The sequence below is a fragment of the Homo sapiens genome, chromosome 14, assembly GCF_000001405.40.
Source record: "Homo sapiens chromosome 14, GRCh38.p14 Primary Assembly".
In the NCBI taxonomy this organism is placed as follows: domain Eukaryota; kingdom Metazoa; phylum Chordata; class Mammalia; order Primates; family Hominidae; genus Homo; species Homo sapiens.
The window spans coordinates 24048343-24069849 of NC_000014.9; the positions used below are offsets into that span (position 1 = coordinate 24048343).

The window sequence follows — 21507 nt, forward strand, 5'->3', positions numbered from 1 at the left end:
TCCTGGCCTCTGTAGCAGCCTTCAGGCCACTTCCTGTAAGAACCCTTTTGATTGCCCTTTCCATCCCATCCTCCACTCCACATCTTTCCACCCCTCCTATTACCCAAGGAAGTTTGTGTCCCCTTGTAGAATCACACCACCAAGTCCCTGCCCACAAAATAGATGCCTTGCCTCCACAAACCATAACCTAGGGGAGATTTAGCCACAAGACAGTTCCCTAACTCTGCCCCTCCCTTACAGGAGATCCCTATTGAGCACTGCCCTCTATGTCTAGTTATTAGAACCAAGAATGACCTGGAAACTATGAGTCTAACACATTCTCTTCTTTCTCCAGGGCTTCAGTCCTTACAATGTCAGTAAAACAGCCTTGCTGGGCCTCAACAAGACCTTGGCCATAGAGCTGGCCCCAAGGAACATTAGGGTGAACTGCCTAGCACCTGGACTTATCAAGACTAGCTTCAGCAGGATGGTGAGGAAGGGGAGCTTTGCATCCCACTGGGACCCCTTGAAAGGCATCCATCTTCTTGGACAGGGAAACCCAGTACCTGAGTCCTGAGCTCTCAACCACTCCATTCTCCTTCCCTGGTCTTTTCCATATTCACTCTCTGTACCAGCTGCCCTATACAAGCCACACTCCTATCACACCTTTCCTGAGGTGCAGAGTGGAGACTGAGATATTCACACTCTACTCACACTGTTTCCTCTCTCCTTACATGGATGAGAATTGGAGAGACACAGCAAAATGCATCACTAGAACCTGAAACAAATGAAACAGATGAGGGCAGTGGGGAGAGCTGGGAGCTAGAAAAAAATAGGAAGTGAAAGAGGGAAGTCTCTCTCCCCATCCCTCCTCTCAGTTGCCATGAGGATGGGCAGTTTCTTCCCTTTCTGTTCCTCACTTTCCTCTTCTTAAACATAAAGAGATTTCCCTTCTTCCTGCAGCTCTGGATGGACAAGGAAAAAGAGGAAAGCATGAAAGAAACCCTGCGGATAAGAAGGTAAACTGTCATACGGGCAAGGGCACTAAGAGACATGAAGATGGGAAGGTCTGGTCCCTAGCAGCCCACAGCCCGCTGTCTCAGTCCCACAGATAACACAGGCAGGCTCTCCTCTGCCTCACAGACCACGAATTCATAAACACTATCACTACAGTGACCTGAGCAAGAAGTCAGCTTCCCTTTCCAAAGGTAAACACAGAGACATCGGGGTTTCAGCAGTGCAGAGCTCTCGGAGAAGCCCTGAGTCCTCTCTCCACCTGGGGGATTGCCTCCACCTCTGAGCATCCATGGAGACCAGGGACTATAACCAAAACCATGCTTTTTTAGTCCCCTTGAATAATGACACATGTTTACAAAACTCAGGTTGATGATCTACAATCCAAATGAAAAGAATGAAGAGTTTTACTAAGCCCCAAACTCCCCTTGCCTAAGGAGTTACTTTCTTCCCCAGTGAGCTGGGTGAACTGTTCAAGCACCTTTGTCGGGCTCCCTTTCCTCTAAGTTCCCTGCCTCTCTCTACCTTCTGGCTTCTGGGCACTATCTAGTTTCTCCATCTTGTCCCTCAAGGACAAATGCCAGCAATGCCTAATTCCGTACTGGTCCAGACATCCCAAATCTTCCCAAAGCCATTCTGATGTCAGGCATGAGCTACAGGCCTAGTTCATAACTCATTAATAAGTCAGGGGATTGTCAACCTAGAGCTCCAGTGAATGATCTAGCCCATGTAGCTCAATACTGGATGCACATTAGAATCACCTGGGGAGCTTTTTAAACTGCAGGTGCTCAGGCCCCACCCACTCCCAAAGATTCTTTTTTAATTGGTCCAAGGTAGGACTTGACCATCTAGGGTTTTGTTTTTCTTTGTCTTTTCTTTTCTTTTTTTGTTTAAGCCTCTCAAATGATTGCAAGGTACAGCTAGAATGGAGAAGCATTAATTCAGCCCTTCTAGGTTTGAGTTACTCTGCCCACCTCTAGAGCATTCTATGGCAGGCAGATTAAAGTGTCTCCTAACTATGCAGTCACTGATAAAATAAGAATTAGCACATTCTCACCAAATGATCCTGACTTTAAGGGACAAGTATAGATTCCTGAAAAAATTGTCTCTAAGTTGAACCTGTACAAATGGAATCATTTTAAACACACCATTTACTGTCACACAGACTCCCTGATACTTTAGTGTGTGCACATGTGAAACCATTTTTTTGAAGTATGAAATAATTACTATTTTACCTGTATAACTTTGGATTTTGGTGTCCTGAGCTCTCTAAAAAACAGTGTCTCTATAGTATTTGAATATTATGGGTAATGGTTTTTGCAGAGTACAGTATGCTTATACTAAATTATAACAGCATATCCTCATGGTAACCCTATTTGATAGGCGGAAAGTTTGTACACTGATCCTGAAAAGTTATCTGATAATTCTTGATTAAGCAAATTTCATTCCCCGTGTCCCAGGTGAGGGAGGCAGACCTGTTTGATTTTTACTCCCTTCCTTGCTTCCCCTATTCCCCAGGTTAGGCGAGCCAGAGGATTCTCTTGGCATCGTGTCTTTCCTGTGCTCTGAAGATGCCAGCTACCTCACTGGGGAAACAGTGATGGTGGGTGGAGGAACCCCGTCCCGCCTCTGAGGACCCGGAGACAGCCCACAGGCCAGAGTTGGGCTCTAGCTCCTGGTGCTGTTCCTGCATTCACCCACTGGCCTTTCCCACCTCTGCTCACCTTACTGTTCACCTCATCAAATCAGTTCTGCCCTGTGAAAAGATCCAGCCTTCCCTGCCGTCAAGGTGGTGTCTTACTCGGGATTCCTGCTGTTGTTGTGGCCTTGGGTAAAGGCCTCCCCTGAGAACACAGGACAGGCCTGCTGACAAGGCTGAGTCTACCTTGGCAAAGACCAAGATATTTTTTGCCCAGGCCACTGGGGAATTTGAGGGGAGATGAGAGAGAAGGAAGCTGGAGTGGAAGGAGCAGAGTTGCAAATTAACAACTTGCAAATGAGGTGCAAATAAAATGCAGATGATTGCGCGGCTTTGAATCGAATCGACGTTTTCTCAGTGCGGGGTGCTTAGCTGAGCAGAGAGCAGAAGTCTGGCCAGGCTGGATCTCTGGATCCCCCAGCCCTCCTCCCTGTCTCCAGGACCTGAGCGTGATGTTCAGGGGTGGAGGTGTCTGCAGAGCTGCCAACTGGAAGGAAGGTGGGACAGGAACTCCCAGGACGCCACGGGGATCCCCGAGGCAGGGCGAGTCGGGCGAGGGTGGGGAAGGAGGAACTCTCTAACACCTCCCCGCCCCTCGCCTCCCAGATCCAGCCATGCCCTCTCCCAGCATGGCCCTAGGTCCCGAGTCAGCAAGGACAAGCTGGAGGGGTCCTGAGCCGGTGGGGAATAGAGAAAGGCCCTGCAAGGTGCCCGGGCCCACAAACAAAAGAAATGGCTTCTGCCCACGGGCCCGAGGATTGAGTAGATGGAAAGCGGGGACGCTGCCCCCCGCCCCGAAGGCCCGGACACCGGGCGACGCACACCGGCCAGCTCACGCGGGAGCCAGCGAGAAGGGTCGGCGCGAGCGCGCGCGGGGTCTCACGCGGCTCGGCAGCGCGGAGCGCATGCTCAGTCCGGCAGCTCTCCCTGCTGGGCGGGGGAGCCGGCGCTCCGAGGCGGGGGGAGGAGCGCTCAAGCAGCCGCCCCTGACCGGAGCGGGCTCGGCCGCTGCTGCAGCGCTCAGCGCCCGGGCCCTGCTGAAGCCGGGTCTAGCATGTGCCGCGGCTCCCCGGCGGCGGCGGCGGCTCCTCTGCAGCAGCCTCAGCAGCAGCGGCCGCCATGGCCAAGCCCAGCGTGGAGCTCACCCGCGAGTTGCAAGGTACGAGGCTGCCTCGGTCTCTGGGACGCCCCGTCCGGGAGCATCCCAGACCCAGCGCGTTCCTCCCCGTGGTGCATCCCAGCCCGGTGTCTCACACCCCTCACCCCATGCATCCTGGCTCCAAGGCAGCCCCTGCATTCCAGTCCGGGCATCGCTGTCCCCGGAGCATCCTCCGCTGCCTGCCTCGCCTCACCCGGTCGGGACCTTCCTGTCCCGGAGCCGCCCGTCCCGCCCTTCGGTGACAGGTGCAGTTCCCTGGCGCTCCCTGGGGCTGACTCTCGGCGTTCCTAGCCCACCCTCGGCGAAGCGTCCAGTCTCCCATCCGGAGAGTCCCCGCTTCCCCGCCGGGCGGGGCCAAGCCCGCCCCTCCCTGCGATGGGAGCTGCCCCTGGTCCTGACCGCTGCGTGGCTTAACACCCTCCCTCCTCCCGGCCCCGCCCCGGAACTGGCCCTGAAGAGCCCCTTAGGAGCTGGGCAGCGCCCAGGCCAGTGGGGCAAAGAAAGGAGTCAGGGAAGAGGCCCTGGATTGGAGCTAAAACCAAGAGCAGGAGGGTCTCTGAGGCTCGCCTCCCACAGCCCCGTCCCAGCCTGCTTCCTTCTCGCTACCCACCACCCACACATCAAGGCTTCTCCCGTTTGCATGGTTCTCAGACCTAGCCCAAACCCAGGCCCGGCCACCCAGCACTGCCACAACCCTGACCCCCAGAGACGGGAGCACAGGCTAGCCCACGCAAAGCGCAGGATGCTCGTGGATACTCAGAGGCATGCTGCGCCGTGGCAATCTCCCACACCTGCACACACACACAGCACAATCATTAGACGTGTGTAAACACATCTTCACAGAGATGGCACCCCAGCACACGCGCGTGCACACACACACACACACACTATATCTGGGTGGTTCTGCCAGCAGATGGGTATGGGGCTCATTTAAACATTAATTCTTCTCCCCGCCCAACACACACAGAGGAAGTGTCTGGCTCTGTGCCCCTTCCACAGCATACTCATTCACACTTACCTGTCCCCACCAATGCCACACTCAGGCTCCCTGACATCTCCAGGAGGCATGCACACTCTCATAGTAAAGGCAGACACTCACACCCGGACCACCTAGAATATAGTCAAAGGGACACCCCACACCCCCACACAGTGACTCACTTTGTATGTGTCAATGGCTGTTGTAGTGCATGGGTTGGAAAAATTCTTCACACCCTCAGAAGTGTGAGACACACCCTCCCACAGACAGTCAGCAACCGTCCCCTGACTCAGGGACATCAGGAGCCGGAGTTTTCTCCACACCCTACTCCCTCTCTAATAGGAAGAGAAAAGTCAAAAAAGAGACAGTGTGAAAAGTCACCCAAGAAGGAATGCCCTCTGTCCCTGTCCTCCCTTCTTTGTCTCTCTGTTTCTCTCTTATCCCATTTGACCCTGACCCTGCCTCTATCTGGAGAGCTCTGGGAGGTGGGGGTGGCCAGGGTAAGGTGAAGCTCTGAGCAGGCTCCCACCCCCCCTCAGACAGCATCCGGAGGTGCCTGAGCCAAGGGGCCGTGCTCCAACAACATCATGTGAAGTTGGAGACAAAGCCCAAGAAGTTTGAGGACCGAGTGCTGGTGAGGGCACTGGGCATGTGGGGAGGGAGGAGGTGGCTGGCAAGGGCAGCTGGCCAGTAGAGGGCAGGGAGCCGGGAGGACAGAAGAGACAGAAGTGGGTGGACACTGAGGAGACAAAACCTGGGGGGAGGAGGCAGGGCTGGACTGTGTTGATGTCCAGAAGTCTAGGGTAGGGCATCGGGTTGGGGAGACACTCCAAGAGCAGAGCTGAAGGGCTTAAGGAGGGCAGGGCCACCAAGGCCCAGCAGCTGCCATGAGCTGCCGATTTTTTCCTCTCTCTGTAGGCCCTGACCTCCTGGCGCCTCCACCTCTTCCTCCTTAAAGTCCCGGCCAAGGTGAGTTGGGCTGAGGAGCAGGAGAGCACCTGGCATGCTCCCTACCTCCCAAGCCTGGCAACCCAGGTCCTTACCAGGAGCTGAGCATCTCCATCCCTCCTAGGTGGAGAGCTCCTTCAATGTCCTGGAGATCCGTGCCTTCAACACGCTCAGTCAGAATCAGGTGAGTACCAGGGCTTTGGGCCCCACTACTGGGCCAGCTGGAGGAGGGAGCAGAGAGGAGGGAGTCTGAGGCTCTGACGCTTCGTCTCCCCCAGATCCTGGTGGAGACGGAGCGTGGCATGGTGAGCATGCGACTGCCATCAGCTGAAAGTGTGGACCAGGTGACACGACATGTGAGCTCTGCCCTGTCCAAGGTCTGCCCTGGCCCTGGGTGAGTGGCAAATAAGGGGTCTCTTAAGGCATTAGATGAGAGGGAGAGTTCATCCCTTCCTCCTTCCCCTGGGCCAGGGCTGAGAAGGAGAGCTCTCATGTCCCCACTCCTGGTTTTTCCTGGGATGCAGGAGCTATAACGTGGGAAGAACTGAGAGCCTCTTTCCAGCCCTCTCTGGAATGACTTGTTTCTTTTCCAGGTGTTTGATCCGGCGTGGAAACGCAGACACCCCAGAGGGGCCCCGAGATACATCCCCCAACTCTGAGACTTCCACATCTACCACCCACAGTGTCTGCGGTGAGCAGGGGCAGATGTGAGGAAAGTAGGCGCTCCACCATCTTGCCCCATGATCAGAGCCCTTTGTGCACAGGGTGTTGCCTGGGCGGGCGGGCTTTGCCTGCCTGAAGGACTCCCAGCTCCCAGACCTCAGGAAGTTCATGGCATAGCAAGAACCAAGAGCACTGGCACATAAAGTGACCTTGACTGTTCTTGAACCCCAAGCCTATTCCCCATCTCCTTACCCTCATGGAATCAGCCTATCTCCTGCCCCACAGGTGGCTTCTCTGAGACCTACGCTGCTCTGTGTGACTACAATGGGCTACACTGCCGTGAGGAGGTTCAATGGGTATGTTGGGCAGGGACCCCATAGGGAACAGGTGGGACCTGGAGGGAAGGGGCTAAGAAGGAAGTGGGGAGCAGGTGTGAGCCAGTTCCACCTCTCCAAGGATGTGGACACCATCTACCATGCTGAAGATAACCGGGAGTTCAATCTTTTGGATTTCAGCCACTTGGAGAGCCGGTAAGCAGATGGGGCAGAGACTCCACCCTCAAATTCCCAAATTCAGCCCAACCCCAGCCCTTCCCAGGAGTGCCCTTCTGGTCCCACAGCCCCAGCTCTATCTCCCCAACTCCATCCCATCCCCATCTACCCATTTAGGCCTTCCCCAGCCCAACCACCCTATCCTTGGTCTCTTCTTTTCTGACCCAACCACCTGCTCACCACTTTCCTGCCCCCTTCCATATCCCCACAGAGACTTGGCCCTAATGGTAGCAGCCCTGGCCTACAACCAGTGGTTCACCAAACTCTACTGCAAGGACTTGCGGCTGGTAGGAACTGGGAGGGGCTGGTGAGGTGGGAGAAGTAGTGCCCCCCTTGGCCCCTGATCACAAGACCCCCCTCTGTCCTCAGGGCTCTGAAGTGCTAGAACAGGTGCTACATACCCTAAGCAAGTCGGGGAGCCTCGAAGAGCTGGTGCTGGACAACGCCGGGCTTAAGACGTGAGGCCAGTCTCCTCCTTGGGCAGTAGTGCACCCTTGATGTAGTTTTAGGGTCCCAGAACCTCAGAGCATGATGCAGGCCTCTGGACTATCTTATCCAGTGCCTCTCTCTACAGAAGAGGAGACCAAGGCCAAAAGAGGGCACAAAGCAAGTCGGAGGTCAAGCTAGAACTCAGACCCAAGCCTCCTGACGCCCAGCTCCATGGCCTTTCCCCAGGATGTTCCATGCCCCGTCCTCTTTTTCCATTAACTACCAAGCAGGGTGGGCTGCTCCAGTCTTGAGGACCCAAAGCTGACCTTTGTCTCAGCACAACTTCCTAAGGTGTGGAATGCCCCCAGGTACTCCGGAGTGGTGACAAGCTCCCTGGCAGGCCCTGAGCTGTTCCCCTGTTGTGGGGGCCTCTGACCATGCAGCCCCAGCCAGGCAGTCAGGTAGAGGAGGAGGGGAAGCCCAGAGGCTGGGACCTGGGGCTCAGCTCAGGACAAATCCTTCCTCCCCTTCCCTGAAGGGACTTTGTCCAGAAGCTGGCCGGGGTGTTTGGGGAGAACGGGAGCTGTGTGCTGCATGCCCTCACTCTGTCCCACAACCCCATCGAGGACAAGGGTGAGCCCCAGCCCTGAATCCTGTCCCCATCCCAATGCAGACCCCTGTCCTAGCCCAGAGCCCAACCAGGTCTGAACAGCAGCTCTCCAGCCTGATTCCAGCCCCTGCCCTGACACCTCCATCCTTGACCCAAGGCCTGTACCCTACTCGAGCCCCCAACCTGACTCTGTGCCACCTGCACCCACTGCCCTGCCCCTCACTGGGCCCGTTTCTCTCTCCACTCCCCAGGTTTTCTCAGTCTGAGCCAGCAGCTCCTCTGCTTCCCCTCTGGCCTCACCAAACTGTGCCTGGCCAAGACTGCCATTTCCCCTCGAGGTACTCGCACCAAGGACCCCTGACCTCTGACCCTACCCTGGTGCTGCCTGGGGTGTTGAGCTCCAGAGGTACACCCACACATTCACACACCACCTCAGGGATGGAAGAGTGAAAAGGAGCCACGTTTGGGGAGAGGGGAAGAGTTATGTGCTGAGGGGAAGAGGTGGGGCTAGGGGCCAACCCAGCCCAGTGCCCGCTGTGCTCAGGGCTCCAGGCACTCGGCCAGACCTTCGGGGCAAACCCAGCATTTGCCAGCTCCCTTCGATACCTGGACCTGAGCAAGAATCCTGGGCTCCTCGCCACGGATGAGGCCAATGTGAGTCCTCAGAACAGCCTCAGCCCCCTGCAGAAAGCATGCTTAAGCTTCAGGAGCTGGGAGGCCTTCTGCCCCATGGCCTCTGGGGGTGGCGAGACTCCATCATCCCTTCCCCTGCAACCCCTCTTCCTTCCTACTCCAGGCCCTCTACAGTTTCCTGGCCCAACCCAACGCCCTGGTGCACCTGGACCTGTCAGGAACTGACTGCGTCATCGACTTGGTGAGGAGTTGGTGATGGGAAGCCAGTCTGAGGTGATTTGGGGAAGACCACAGTGGGCCTCGGTCTCACCCCCTATCCCTGAGTACACAGGCGGGCAGAGCTGTCTAGATGACTTCAGGTTCAGCTGAAGTATAAAGCAATGTCCATAGTTCATACCTGTGTGGCACTTTATCCAGGTCACAAGCTTGTGCTTGCTGTGCTTAAAAGCCAGCCCTTGCTCCCTTCCCCAGCTGTGCACCCTGGCTCCACCAGGGGAATGGATGCTTTTCCTAACTTGAACAAGGCACCTTAGGAGTCAGTGGTGGCCCTGGCTTTACACATCCACTGCCTGTGAGCAGCTTCATGCCCCTGGAAGCCAGGCAGGGAGTAGACCCATGTTCCACAGGGGAGAAAACAGAGACTTCAAGAATCTGAGTGGGCATCTCCAGTGGAGCTCACACAGGCTGACCACAGAGAATGAAGAGCCAGGAACCTCGATGGGGAGGGAGGGGGAGTCCTTTCCTGCCACCCCCTACCCCCTTCCAGCTCCCCTGAGACCCACCATATCTCCCCCCACAGCTTCTCGGTGCCCTGCTCCACGGCTGCTGCTCCCACCTCACCTACCTCAACCTGGCTCGCAACAGCTGCTCCCACAGGTGGGAGAGGAGGGGGAAGGGAGGACAGGGCAAGACATGGCCAACCCCCTCCCTCGCTGACCCCAGGGGTCTCTCCACAGGAAGGGTCGAGAGGCCCCGCCGGCCTTCAAGCAGTTCTTCAGCAGCGCCTACACACTGAGCCACGTCAATCTGTCGGCCACAAAGCTGCCCCTGGAGGCCCTCAGGTCGGGTGGGTGCAGGGTTGGGGGCGCATCCAAGGGAACCACGGGGAGCGGGAAGAGGTAAAGGAGGGCCTGCTGACCTCCCTCCCACAGGGCGCTGCTTCAGGGCCTCTCCCTCAACAGTCACCTCAGTGACCTGCACCTGGATCTCAGCAGCTGCGAGGTGAGCCCTCAGTCCCCAACCCCTCTGCCCGCCTCCGATCCATGTGCATTTCTCAGACCTAAGTCAAACCCTGGCTCCATCTAGCCTCTGTGCTGACCCTCTGCGACCCCCTGACCTGGCCACACCACCACTTTCCCCTCTCAGTCTGGCCTCTTTTCCAGAGGCCATTCATTCTCAGTCTCTAGTATCTCTGCCCTTAAAGCTTTGGGGTGGGAGATACCAGACTTTTCCACCAGAGGGCAGGAGCAAGCTGTCTTAGGAATAGCAGCCTTCCTGGCCGAAGGGAGGGAAGCCAGCTCTAGGGAAGGATCTGGTGTGGGGAAAGAGTCTCCCTGATTTTACACCCAGATCCTGGCATGACTTTGAGTTCTGGTGTGACTACTATATCCTAAGCATTAAAGGTGCCCTACCCCCACCCCAACCCCTGCCTTCCCTACCTCACCTTGTCCCTGCAGCTCCGTTCAGCGGGAGCCCAAGCCTTGCAGGAGCAGCTGGGAGCTGTCACCTGTGTAGGCAGCCTGGATCTGTCAGACAATGGTGAGTAGTGGTTCCTCCCTTCCCTGGGGCCAGGGGAGAACAGGGGCCTGGAGCATGCAGAAGCAGCCCTGATGGGACACCAGTCAGCCTCAGGCCTCCAGGCCAGGCCTCTCCCATCTGCTCACCAGGGTTCGACTCGGACCTCCTGACACTGGTGCCTGCACTTGGCAAGAACAAGTCCCTCAAGCACCTGTTTTTGGGCAAGAACTTCAATGTCAAGGCCAAGTGAGGCCCCCTTTCCATGCCCACAGACCCTCATCCCATCATTCACCCATCCTCTTGGCTCACCGTATTACCTCTGGCCACCTCTCTCCTCCTCCAATAGCATGACCCCAGCCCTTCCCCTCCTACTCTGAGCCCCGCCTCCCTGCAGGACCCTGGAGGAGATCCTCCACAAGCTGGTGCAGCTGATCCAGGAAGAGGACTGTGTGAGTGCCTGGGCCTGGGAGGGGACCTGCAGTCGGAGGAGGCTGTGGGGACTGGGTCCAACCGCCCCTTGCCCACACAGTCCCTGCAGTCACTGTCGGTGGCAGACTCCCGGCTGAAGCTTCGCACCAGCATCCTCATCAATGCCCTGGGCAGCAACACCTGCCTGGCCAAGGTGGATCTGAGCGGCAATGGCATGGAGGACATCGGGGCCAAGATGCTGTCTAAGGCCCTGCAGATAAACTCCTCCCTCAGGTGGGGCCCACACCGGGACCCCCTGACCTGGAGCCCCAGCCCCTCCCCATATGTACATAATCTCCCTGCTTTCCTTGATGCTCTGGACCCCAGCTTCCAGAAGACCCCCAGCCCCAGAACCATCTCTGAGTCAGCCTTATTGCCCCAAGAGGTTTGTGTCCCTGGCCCCTAGTAGGGACCCAGGAGGAGAGGTGCCAAACTGGTGCTTACCCTCCCCCCAGAACTATCCTATGGGATCGGAACAATACATCTGCCCTGGGCTTCCTGGACATCGCAAGGGCCCTGGAGAGGTGAGTAGACCATGGTCCTGCCCTGATCCAAGTCCCCAGCCTCCCTGTGCCTGGATCAGGCCTGAACTACTCTTGCCCCACCCTAGCCCCTTTGACCTATTTGCACAGAAATTTTAGGAAGGGCCATGGAAGACAGAAATGATGAGCAAGGGGGCTGGAGGGCTGCTCACCAACAGAGGAGGCAGGGGCCTCCCATCCTCACCTGTTCCCACCCAGCTGTGCCCCTGTGTCCCACAGCAACCACACGCTGCGCTTCATGTCCTTCCCCGTGAGCGACATCTCCCAAGCCTATCGCAGCGCGCCTGAGCGCACCGAGGACGTCTGGCAGAAGGTGCAGGGTGCTGTCCTAAGCAGGGTGGCACAGCAAGGGGCAGGGGGCAGCCCCCATCCCCAGGCCCTGACCCACCAACCCCATCATCTCCAGATCCAATGGTGCTTAGTGAGGAACAACCACTCCCAGACGTGCCCCCAGGAGCAGGCCTTCAGGTTGCAGCAGGGCCTGGTGACCAGCAGCGCCGAGCAAGTAAACGTTTCCCTCTGGGACACGGGGCATACCCGGGGCATGCAGGGCACAGTGTGATGTGATGGAAAATTGAGTGGGGGAGCATGAAGAGGCACTGCATGGTGCCTATCACTGGACTGAGCATGTGGGGAAGCAAAAAGAGAGGACATGCAGGATATGGGCTTCAAACATATGTGGGCGAACAGCAGGAGTGCACAGGACTCTGGGAGCTCAGCTGGGCATTCAAGAAGGCTGTAGCAATGGGGACCAGGCCAGCCAGAGACATCACCTCCACCACTGTCGGTGCCAGCACCAGTAGCACTGTCTAAGGGGTCCTACCTGCGAAGATGTGGAAGCAGGGGTCCCCTTGACACCCCTGCCACTGTGCTCCAGATGCTGCAGCGGCTGTGTGGACGAGTGCAGGAGGAGGTGCGGGCCCTGAGACTATGCCCCCTGGAGCCTGTGCAGGATGAGCTACTCTACGCTCGGGACCTCATCAAAGATGCCAAGAACTCCCGGGCGGTGAGCCCTCCACAGGCTACCCTTCCCCTGAAGTCTGGAGAACCCAAGAAGGCCGACCATGCTAAGCCATGACAGCCCTGCCCTGTGCATCTGCCTTCCTAGCCCAGGGACCCCAGAGACCTAGCAAGTCCTGGTTCTGGCCTGCTAATCATAACCCCTTCCTTCTCCAGCTGTTTCCCAGCCTCTATGAGCTGGGCCACGTGCTGGCCAATGATGGGCCTGTGCGGCAGAGGCTGGAATCAGTAGCAAGTGAGGTGTCCAAAGCTGTGGACAAGGAGCTGCAGGCAAGTCCTGGAGGAGGGAGGAATCCATGGTGGGAACCTAGTGTTGACTGAGGCCCTAAGCCCAGAGCTAAAGTCAGAGCTGGGAGACTTCTGGAGGGCCAGGAGGACATGCAGAGTTGAGACCACCCACGCTCCCACTGTACCAAGGCATTGCTGCAATATCAGGCTTGGATTTTTTTCTGCTAGCTTTGATGTTGGTCCCTGAACTCTGACCTCCCTGCTCTGGATTTGGATCCTTGGACTGACTGCCCCTGTCTGTATGGTAGGGTGGAAGGAGCACTGACCAGAAAGTGGGGAAGCCTTAGTGTCCAAGGCTCTGCCACTAACAGTTTTGTGACTTAGGCAGGTCCCTCAGTCTCAGCAGGAGGGGCTGGAATAGATAAAGTCTCTTCTGCTGTGGTGCCAGCCCTGATCCTGTCCCCCTTGGGCCTCTGGCCTCCCTTTCCCCCATACTAGGTGATCCTGGAGTCCATGGTCAGCCTGACACAGGAGTTATGCCCTGTGGCCATGCGGGTGGCCGAGGGACACAACAAGATGCTGAGCAATGTGGCGGAGCGTGTCACTGTGCCCCGGAACTTCATCCGAGGGGCACTGCTGGAGCAAGCAGGACAGGACATTCAGAACAAGCTGGAGTGAGAGGCAAAGGGCAGGGCTGGGGCTGAGCTGGATTTGGCCCAGATCACTTAGGGACTTAGGACTGGAGAGCTATCAGCAATGAATAATGAATGGCACAATCTCCATTACAAGGATCAATCTTTAACCAAGTGCAACCTTGCTATTTAGGGTCTGGCTGGTCTTTGCCCTAGAAATCTAAGTGCTGAGCTGGGGTTTAGGAGCCAAGTTTGTGCCCACACAGGTGTACACACACATACCCACACAAATACACCAGGAATGGGATAGCAGGGCCTCCTCGGAGGCATGGACAAAGAAAAGTACCTGAGTTGGGTGCATGGAAGCACTGTCTTCCTCCCAGTTTTCATTGCCCCTAGAGTTCTTTCATTCTGGGTCTGGGTGCCACCACTCACCAAACCAAAGGAAAACTAGTACACATACCTATGAAACAGCTAGGCCCAAGGAAGGGTCTTTCCTACCCTCACAGTAGCAACTAGCAGGGTTTAGTTACTCAGCACCCCAATTACCTAGCTCTGTTCCACTGGGGCTCCAGGGGCCTGACCTAGGGCCCCCTTGCTCCTTCTCCTCGAATTCCTCTTTCCCCACACATAGTTGGGCTGGGGGCTCTGGGGTGGGACTAGACGTGTATTTGTGGAGAAATGAGTGTCAAGGGCTAGGCTGCCTCCTTCAGCAGCCACATGCGCTCCATGGGCAGACAGACCAGGCCAGCTGGCCGTTCTCTCAGGCTTCTGGGAGAGGGAGTGCCTCAGGGGCCATGCGGGGGACTGAGGTGCTAATGTTCTGAGTAGCCCCACCTGTGCCCACAGTGAAGTGAAGCTCTCAGTCGTCACCTACCTAACCAGCTCCATAGTGGATGAGATCCTGCAAGAGCTCTACCATTCCCACAAGAGCCTGGTAAGGCTTCTTCTGCAGCCTGGCCTGGCTCGGGCACGCCCTCCACCCCACATTATCCTGTCTCCCTAATCACCCTCCCCTTCAAGGCCCTGGGAGGTGGGCAGCTTCCATGGAATTCTGTTCACACCTGCCCTTCCCCAGGCCCGGCACCTGACCCAGCTAAGGACGCTGTCAGATCCACCAGGGTGCCCAGGCCAAGGGCAGGATCTGTCCTCCCGGGGCCGAGGCCGGAACCATGACCATGAGGAGACCACAGATGATGAACTTGGGACCAACATTGTGAGCCCCCCGCTCCCTGCTCCTCCTTAATAACCTGGGCCCTGCCCTTAAACCTGCACAACACTGTCCCCTTCCACTGATCTGTACTCCCCTGGCCACCTCACTGTGCCTGGCCTTCTGCCTCCAATCTCAATCCAGCCCAACCTCTTCCCTCATCCCAGTGCCTCAGCCCCCTGAGGAGCGAGGGGCAGGATGGGCTCAAATAAGGTTTCATGAGGAATGGATGGCTCTGGGTGAGGTGCCTGGCCCTGCCACTCGTCTTCATTTCTGCAGGACACCATGGCCATCAAAAAGCAGAAACGCTGCCGCAAGATTCGGCCGGTGTCTGCCTTCATCAGTGAGTCTCCCAGCCTCCGTTCTCATGGACTCCAGACTCCCGCCCTCTGTAGCCCCTCTTTCCCTTGATTTTTTCTCTGTCTCCCCATCCTGCTTTCTCCCCATTCCTCTGCTAGTCCCTCTAATGCTGCTGTCTTTGCAGGCGGGAGCCCTCAGGACATGGAAAGCCAACTGGGGAATCTGGGGATCCCCCCTGGCTGGTTCTCAGGACTTGGGGGCAGCCAGCCCACAGCTAGTGGCTCCTGGGAAGGTCTATCTGAGCTGCCCACTCATGGTTACAAACTAAGGCATCAAACACAAGGGAGGCCCCGCCCCCCCAGGACCACACCTCCAGGACCTGGTCGACCCAGTGTGAGTCCCTAAGGCTTCACAAGAGGATCCCCTTCACTCAGTGACACCAGAGCCAGGAGTTTTACCTTTAGGACCCAAATGCCAGAGACAGTAGCCTTGAGGGATTGGGCAGGAGTCCAGGCATGCCAATGAACAGATGAGGGATTGCCCAGTTTTTATGAGAGCTAGACCTTGTCACAGATAAGAAAGCTCTGTCTGCCGGGCAGTGTCATTCTTATTTTGGTGAAGGATAGAGCCACCAAGAACACCAAGAGCCACCAAGCTTAGGAAACACTAGGTGAGCTGGGCATGGTGGCTCAGGCCTGTAATCCCAGCACTTTGGGAGGCTGAGGCGGGCAGATCACGAGGTCAAGAGATCGAGATCATCCTGGCCAAGATGGTGAAACCCCATCTCCACTAAAAATACAAAAATTAGCCGGGCGTGGTGGCGCCTGCCTGTAATCCCAGCTACTCGGGAGGCTGAGGCAGGAGAACTGCGTGAACCCAGGAGGCGGAGGTTGCAGTGAGCCAAAATCATGCCACTGCACTCCAGCCTGGGTGACAGAGCAAGACTCCGTCTCAAAAAAAAAAAAAAAAAAGAAAAAGAAACACTGGGTGAACTGAAGTCTACATTTCCATAAATGTCCAAGCCCAAAGGGGAATGCTCTGAGTGGATGGGAGGTGGGGCTTCCTGACCTAGATGAGATGTCCCACGGGACTTTCCTCCCAGCAGATGCCAGCACCTGGGACTCGTCAGGAGAATGGGATGGCCACCCGCCTGGATGAAGGGCTGGAGGACTTCTTCAGCCGAAGGGTCCTGGAGGAAAGTTCTAGGTGTGATGCCTAAACACACTCCCATTTTCAGCAGGCCCCAAGGCCCTAGAAGGGCTGCTGTGTCCTCCCAGCTCCCATGGGAGTCTCCATAACAGCAGTGCCCAAAGCCAGTCTCTGTGAGAAATTTCCCCACATTCTCATCCTTCCCCACCCAGCCCTCAGGGCCCATGACCTCTGCGTCTTCCCAGGACAGCTGGGAAGAATGGGGCCAGAGTGAACCACCACAGTGGGGTTGGAGAGCAGGTGTGGATGAGAGGGAGGTGGGGGGCAGCCCTGGGACAGGATACCCATTAGTGGTGAGAGGCCCGGGGGGTAGTGTTCCCTGTCACTGTCCTGCAGACTGCCCAGGGTCTGTCCAGGAGGAGCCAGGTCACTTGGAGAAGCTGAGAGGAGTTGCAGGGGAGGTGCCTGGGAAGAAACATCAGTCTGCGGGAAAGGCTGCTGGAGGATTACAACGGGACAGGAAAGGCAAGGGCATCATCTCCCTGAGAACTAAGTGGAAAGGGCTGCAGTGCAGCAGGGGAGACCAGATGAGAGGAAAGCAGGTTTATCAGACCCAGGATTGAGCTTGCATCTGGCATTTGTTGCTAACTTACCCCGATTCTCCCCAGCTACCCCCGGACTCTGAGGACCGTGCGGCCAGGACTCTCGGAGGCACCGCTGCCTCCACTCCAGAAGAAGAGGCGCCGGGGCCTGTTTCACTTTCGCCGGCCCCGGAGCTTCAAGGGGGACAGGGGGCCGGGGTCCCCTACCACTGGACTCCTCCTCCCTCCACCCCCACCCCCTCCCCCGACTCAGGAGAGCCCCCCTAGCCCAGACCCCCCAAGCCTCGGCAATAACTCCTCTCCCTGCTGGAGCCCAGAGGAGGAGAGCAGCCTCCTCCCTGGATTTGGTGGGGGCCGGGGACCTTCCTTCCGCCGGAAGATGGTAAGTGAGGCAGGGGGTGCTGTGTCTTCCCCTTTTCCTGCCCCACACTTAACCCAGTCTCCTACCCCACCCCAAGCTTAATGGGAGAATGCTAGGACCCAGGGTTCTTGGGAACATTGGTCATTTCAATTCTCCTCTCCTTGAGAGTGGACTAAGACCCAGTGGCCAAGAGCATGCTGGGAGTGCTATATGCGAATGCAGGCGTTGGAAGGACTCTTCAGAGGGTCTCTGCAGGGCTTCCCCGTGGCTAGGGACTCAGTGAGGCAGGGGTCCTCCTGACAACTCCCTCACAGCCTGGGGAGCCCCCTTCGACTGGGAACTGCTAATAAATAAGAGACCTTGTTCTAGGGCACTGAGGGGTCAGAGCCAGGGGAGGGGGGCCCAGCCCCTGGGACAGCACAGCAGCCAAGGGTTCACGGTGTTGCCCTTCCCGGGTTGGAAAGAGCCAAGGGTTGGAGCTTCGATGGGAAACGAGAGGTGAGTGGAGCCTGGGACAACAAACTGTGGGTCCTGAGGGTATCTGTCCACCACCCTCTCCTTCCCACTCCCTCATCCCTGGTGGTTCAGTAGAGAAAGCAGATGCTTTGGCATTAGAAGATGTTAGCTGCTCTTCAGCCCCCACCACACACTTGCCGTGGAGCCCTGGACTGGTCACTTCACCTCCTGAAACCTCTCCTTCTTTACTGTAAAATGAGGGGTTATAAAAATACTTACCTCTAGAGCTCTGTTTCCCAAACAATGGTGACTTGATTATAACCTTTGCGACTGATTTTTACCTGAATTATTACTTACATAGTATTTTTATTTAAATTAACTCACCTTTTTTTAACTTAGGCTAGACCTAGACATTATCTTTAAAATCGCAGGCTTTTTGAATGAGTCGTGTTTTTTTCTACTACATGTAAAATACATATGTAACTATAAAGATGGAAGTATACTCATTTGTGTAAGCCATTTCTTGTGCCCCTGGGGAGGTATGGGTGCCACTCTTTGGGAAACAGTTTTAAGTGTCTAGGGACTAATGACATGAGAATGACATGGAGATGCTAGAGCAGAAGCCCTTTGTCAGCTGCAGTCCTGCCACAGAGGAGACTTTCTTACAACCTGACCCACTGTTCTTTCAGGGCCCAGGCCCAGACCAGGAGGGCAGCACCCAGGCCTGGCAGAAACGGCGCTCTTCAGACGACGCAGGTAAGAACAGTCACATTCAAAGCCCTTTTGGACCCCTCTCTCAGGGGTCAAATTTACCTTTTCCCTTTCTCCTCTCTTTCTCATCCCCTCTCTCTACTCCAGGGCCTGGATCCTGGAAGCCCCCACCACCGCCCCAAAGCACCAAACCAAGCTTCAGCGCCATGCGCAGAGCAGAGGCCACATGGCACATAGGTATGGAAAGCCTCTTTTCAGGCAGCAGTACTGAAAGCCCAGGGTGTGTCCAAAGAAACAGAAGCCCATGGCCCCTGTGCTGGGGAATTTATGGCCAAGGTGGGGCAGTGAGAAGTCAACACAGTGAAAATGTTTAAGGATATTTACAAAGCTATATCCAAAAGAGACAAACAACCCAATCCAAAGAAAGCTTCTACAGAACAAAAGCGGCTTCTCCAGTGTTGGCAAACAGGAGCGATGCTTTGTGGATGGCTCTGGCGAATTCTCCAGGGCAGGTGCAGCCTCTGGTCACCATTGGCACAGTGGCAGCCTCTGTAGACAAGGCTCCTCTCTGCACCTTGCTGGGAAGAGGGTGGGCAAGTCAAACTGCCAGCAAGTACCAGCTGTGCCAGGCCCACCTCAGATTCCAGCCTCCTCCAGAAGTCGTTTATCAACTCACCCTCAGCTCACGCAGAAAGGTGCCCCAAACATGGGCAAGAGCTCGCCTCGGAGGTCAGAAACCTGCAGTATTAGTCCTTCTCAGCCACCCGCGACCTTAAACAAGTCATTTACTTTCTGGCCCCATGACCGGAGGAGTAAAAGGGAGGGGATTATCCCAGGCATGACACTTCCTTTCTGCTGGCTTCAGAGCACCTTCCGCTTAGGGAGCCACTAAAGAAAAGCTGGTCAGCTCAGCATTCGCTCAGTCCAGCAGTTGCCAAAGGCCTGGACCATGACCCTCCAGCAATATTGACATAGACAAAATCTCTCTGTAGATGGAGACACCCCCTCAGCCTCTTTCACTCCCACCACCAGGCTAGGGCGTAAGGGCTGGAAAGAGCTAAGAGCTGAGCGGGCTGGTCTGGCTTGAGCCACATGCTCCCCACTGTCCTATCCCACCCATTCTGCATCTGCCCCTCTCTCCCCTGTAGTGCAGAATCAGGCTAGCCTGAGACTTGGAGTGCCTGTGTCCTTGCCTCCTCCTCCAAGGCCAACCCAGCACTGGGGGCATCTTTGCTGATTTTTTCCATCCCATACACAGGCTAATTAAAGCGCCCCAAAGTAGGGCTCCATCTTTCATTTAGGAAACCGCAATAGTCAGTTGCCCCACTGCACACACACCTCACAGATCCACATGCAGACAACACTTTCCAGTGTCAGAGCCACAGGCTCATGTTGCTTAAAGGCCACTGGGGCGGAGGATGAGTGTGCCAGGGCACCCCTCCATCTAAATCAGACTTTCAGACAGAGTTCTGGGAATGCCAGGCTGCAGCCTTGGCAGAGCCCCCAGGGCACTGCAGCCTGGATGGGCAGCATGCCTGTGGACCCAGCAGGCCCTGGGCCCTGCCCCAGCAGGAAAGGGGTTGGGCACTGCTCTGCAAGAGGGACAGCTAGGCCAGAGTCCCCTCCAGAGGTGATGGCCTCAGGATGATCCTGGGAAACAAGGGCTAAGGAGCGTGGATGTAGAAAGGCATATGAAAGACCGGGTGCGGTGGCTCATGCCTGTAATCCCAACACTTTGGGAGACCGAGGTAGGTGGATCACTAGGTCAAGAGATCGAGACAATCCTGGCCAACACGGTGAAACCCTGTCTCTACTAAAAATACAAAAATTAGCTGGGCGTGGTGGCACGCACCTGTAGTCCCAGTTGTTCGGGAGGCTGAGACAGGAGAATCGCTCAAACCCGAGAGGTGGAGGTTGCAGTGAGCCAAGATTGCACCACTGTACTCCAGCCTGGGTGACAGAGCAAAACTCCATCTCCAAAAAAAAAAAAAGAAAGAAAGAAAGAAAAGAAAAAAAAAAGGCACATGAAAGGCAGAGACATAGGAGCAAGTGGGCTTGGAGGGAGAAAGTCCTGGCCTCCAGGGCTTCAGTGGAGAGAGGAGACAGGGACAGGAGCTATGCAAGAATGCCTTTTCCTGCAGCTTCTCCTCTCTCTCATCCCCAGCTGAAGAGAGTGCCCCCAACCACAGCTGCCAGAGTCCCAGCCCAGCCTCCCAAGATGGGGAAGAGGAGAAGGAGGGGACCCTCTTCCCAGAGAGGACACTTCCAGCTAGGAATGCCAAGGTGAGAGCTGGCAAGATGGGTGGGGGAGGCACTTTGATGAGGCAAAGGGACTAACTGACCCAGCATCTTCCTTCCTCTGCCAGCTACAGGACCCCGCTCTAGCTCCATGGCCTCCCAAGCCAGTGGCTGTGCCCAGGGGCCGCCAGCCTCCCCAGGAGCCAGGGGTCAGGGAGGAGGCTGAGGCTGGAGATGCAGCTCCAGGAGTCAACAAACCCCGGCTGAGGCTGAGCTCACAGCAAGACCAAGAGGAGCCCGAAGTCCAAGGTCTGCCACCCTGGCTGAGTGGGGGGCTCAGGGCACCTCTAGGACTTTGCTGTCCACATCAGGTCCTCTTCCAGAGCATGGAATGAGTGACAACCAGGAGTCACAGCCTGGATGAGCATCCCAGCATGAGCCCCACTCCTGTGTTAGGCCTGCCTTGATTGTTATTTCAGGGCCCCCTGATCCAGGCCGGCGGACTGCCCCCCTGAAGCCCAAGAGGACACGGCGGGCACAGTCCTGTGACAAGCTGGAACCTGATAGAAGACGGCCTCCTGACCCCACAGGTGCTGGTGGTGAGAGGGCAGGTCCCCCCTTCCCACCTATCTGTCCAACATGACACCCCCCGAAGCCCCAACACCAGGTGGCTGGCTGTCCCTGCCCAGGAAACAGGGCTCCCTGGATTTGTCCCCAGCAGGAACCAGTGAGCCAGGAACAGACTGACAACTGCCACAACACCCTCCTCAGCCCTCGACATGTGCCTCGCAAGGACTCAGACCCCTATCCACCCCCAGTCCCCAGGGCCCCCTGCCAGCCCCTGTCCTACAGGGGCAAGACGGCAGGACCAGGCATGGGGGAGCTGGAGGCAGGGACTAGAACAGAGGGAGCCACCTGGAGAGACGGAGGCTGTCAGTGCCTGCCTCGATACCTCTCTCTGCAGAGAGCTTCTGGGTGGGGGCTTATCTCCTCCCCCAGGAGGGTGGATCTCTGTCCCTCTATCCCCAGGGACTCTCTCCCCTCTTGTATAGAATAAAAAAACAAAATCATCGCCTGCCTCGAGTCTCTGCTATCTTCCCCATTCACTGCCTCCACAATCTGCTCTCTTCCCACAAACCCTCAGAGCTTGGCCACAGTGGAGAAAAATGAGAAACATTCCACAGGGATAGAC

General features: G+C 56.5%; 1 protein-coding gene, 1 long non-coding RNA gene and 1 pseudogene across 27 annotated transcripts in view, besides 4 other annotated features; 2 read left to right on the forward strand and 1 right to left on the reverse strand.

Moving 5' to 3' along the window:
- DHRS4L1 (dehydrogenase/reductase 4 like 1 (pseudogene)) overlaps window positions 1–3035 on the forward strand; it is a 44294-nt pseudogene extending 41259 nt beyond the window's left edge. For 7 of the 8 annotated variants that reach the window (NR_171045.1, NR_102688.2, NR_102687.2 and 4 more), the window contains 3 exons: window positions 335–469; window positions 943–998; window positions 2512–3035. The product of NR_171045.1 is annotated as a dehydrogenase/reductase 4 like 1 (pseudogene), transcript variant 1 (transcript). The remainder of the gene's footprint in view (window positions 1–334; window positions 470–942; window positions 999–2511) is intronic. The other variant, NR_102694.2, reaches the window with a different exon arrangement.
- Window positions 3460–3759: a silencer, noted in NCBI's record as "silent region_5617". NCBI's record gives its function as "represses an Ori minimal core promoter by ATAC-STARR-seq in GM12878 lymphoblastoid cells {active_cell/tissue: GM12878}" and the evidence as "EXISTENCE:reporter gene assay evidence [ECO:0000049][PMID:35858748]".
- CARMIL3 (capping protein regulator and myosin 1 linker 3) lies at window positions 3667–21387 on the forward strand. Of its 18 annotated transcripts, none has more exons than XM_047431880.1 (40): window positions 3667–3851; window positions 5367–5461; window positions 5746–5796; window positions 5900–5959; window positions 6054–6169; window positions 6369–6466; window positions 6724–6794; window positions 6895–6968; window positions 7201–7276; window positions 7359–7447; window positions 7957–8051; window positions 8280–8366; window positions 8573–8682; window positions 8825–8902; window positions 9461–9537; window positions 9618–9722; window positions 9813–9882; window positions 10338–10419; window positions 10548–10644; window positions 10793–10847; window positions 10928–11100; window positions 11322–11390; window positions 11628–11721; window positions 11815–11913; window positions 12286–12414; window positions 12585–12698; window positions 13155–13330; window positions 14138–14225; window positions 14367–14504; window positions 14778–14841; window positions 14983–15191; window positions 15901–16004; window positions 16616–16931; window positions 17280–17408; window positions 18056–18122; window positions 18225–18314; window positions 20242–20360; window positions 20444–20624; window positions 20795–20905; window positions 21034–21387. In XM_047431880.1, exons 1-40 carry the CDS (start codon window positions 3812–3814, stop codon window positions 21060–21062), a joined length of 4125 nt encoding a protein of 1374 aa, XP_047287836.1. In that variant the 5' UTR covers window positions 3667–3811; the 3' UTR covers window positions 21063–21387. The 18 variants fall into 18 exon arrangements, with proteins under 18 accessions (XP_047287836.1, XP_047287838.1, XP_047287839.1 ...); XM_047431882.1 differs by having other exon boundaries at window positions 21037–21387; XM_047431883.1 differs by having other exon boundaries at window positions 20450–20624.
- Window positions 4030–4119: a silencer, noted in NCBI's record as "silent region_5618". NCBI's record gives its function as "represses an Ori minimal core promoter by ATAC-STARR-seq in GM12878 lymphoblastoid cells {active_cell/tissue: GM12878}" and the evidence as "EXISTENCE:reporter gene assay evidence [ECO:0000049][PMID:35858748]".
- Window positions 4140–4309: a silencer, noted in NCBI's record as "silent region_5619". NCBI's record gives its function as "represses an Ori minimal core promoter by ATAC-STARR-seq in GM12878 lymphoblastoid cells {active_cell/tissue: GM12878}" and the evidence as "EXISTENCE:reporter gene assay evidence [ECO:0000049][PMID:35858748]".
- Window positions 4325–5024: an enhancer, noted in NCBI's record as "H3K4me1 hESC enhancer chr14:24521876-24522575 (GRCh37/hg19 assembly coordinates)". NCBI's record gives its function as "activates a minimal SCP1, AML or CMV promoter by ChIP-STARR-seq in naive H9 embryonic stem cells {active_cell/tissue: H9 hESC(naive)}" and the evidence as "EXISTENCE:reporter gene assay evidence [ECO:0000049][PMID:30033119]".
- LOC105370412 (uncharacterized) lies at window positions 18442–19847 on the reverse strand. The gene is made up of 2 exons (XR_943619.2): window positions 18754–19847; window positions 18442–18655 (listed from the first exon to the last, which is right to left on the reverse strand). It is a non-coding gene; the product is annotated as an uncharacterized LOC105370412 (long non-coding RNA).
- Window positions 21388–21507: the final 120 nt, after the last annotated feature.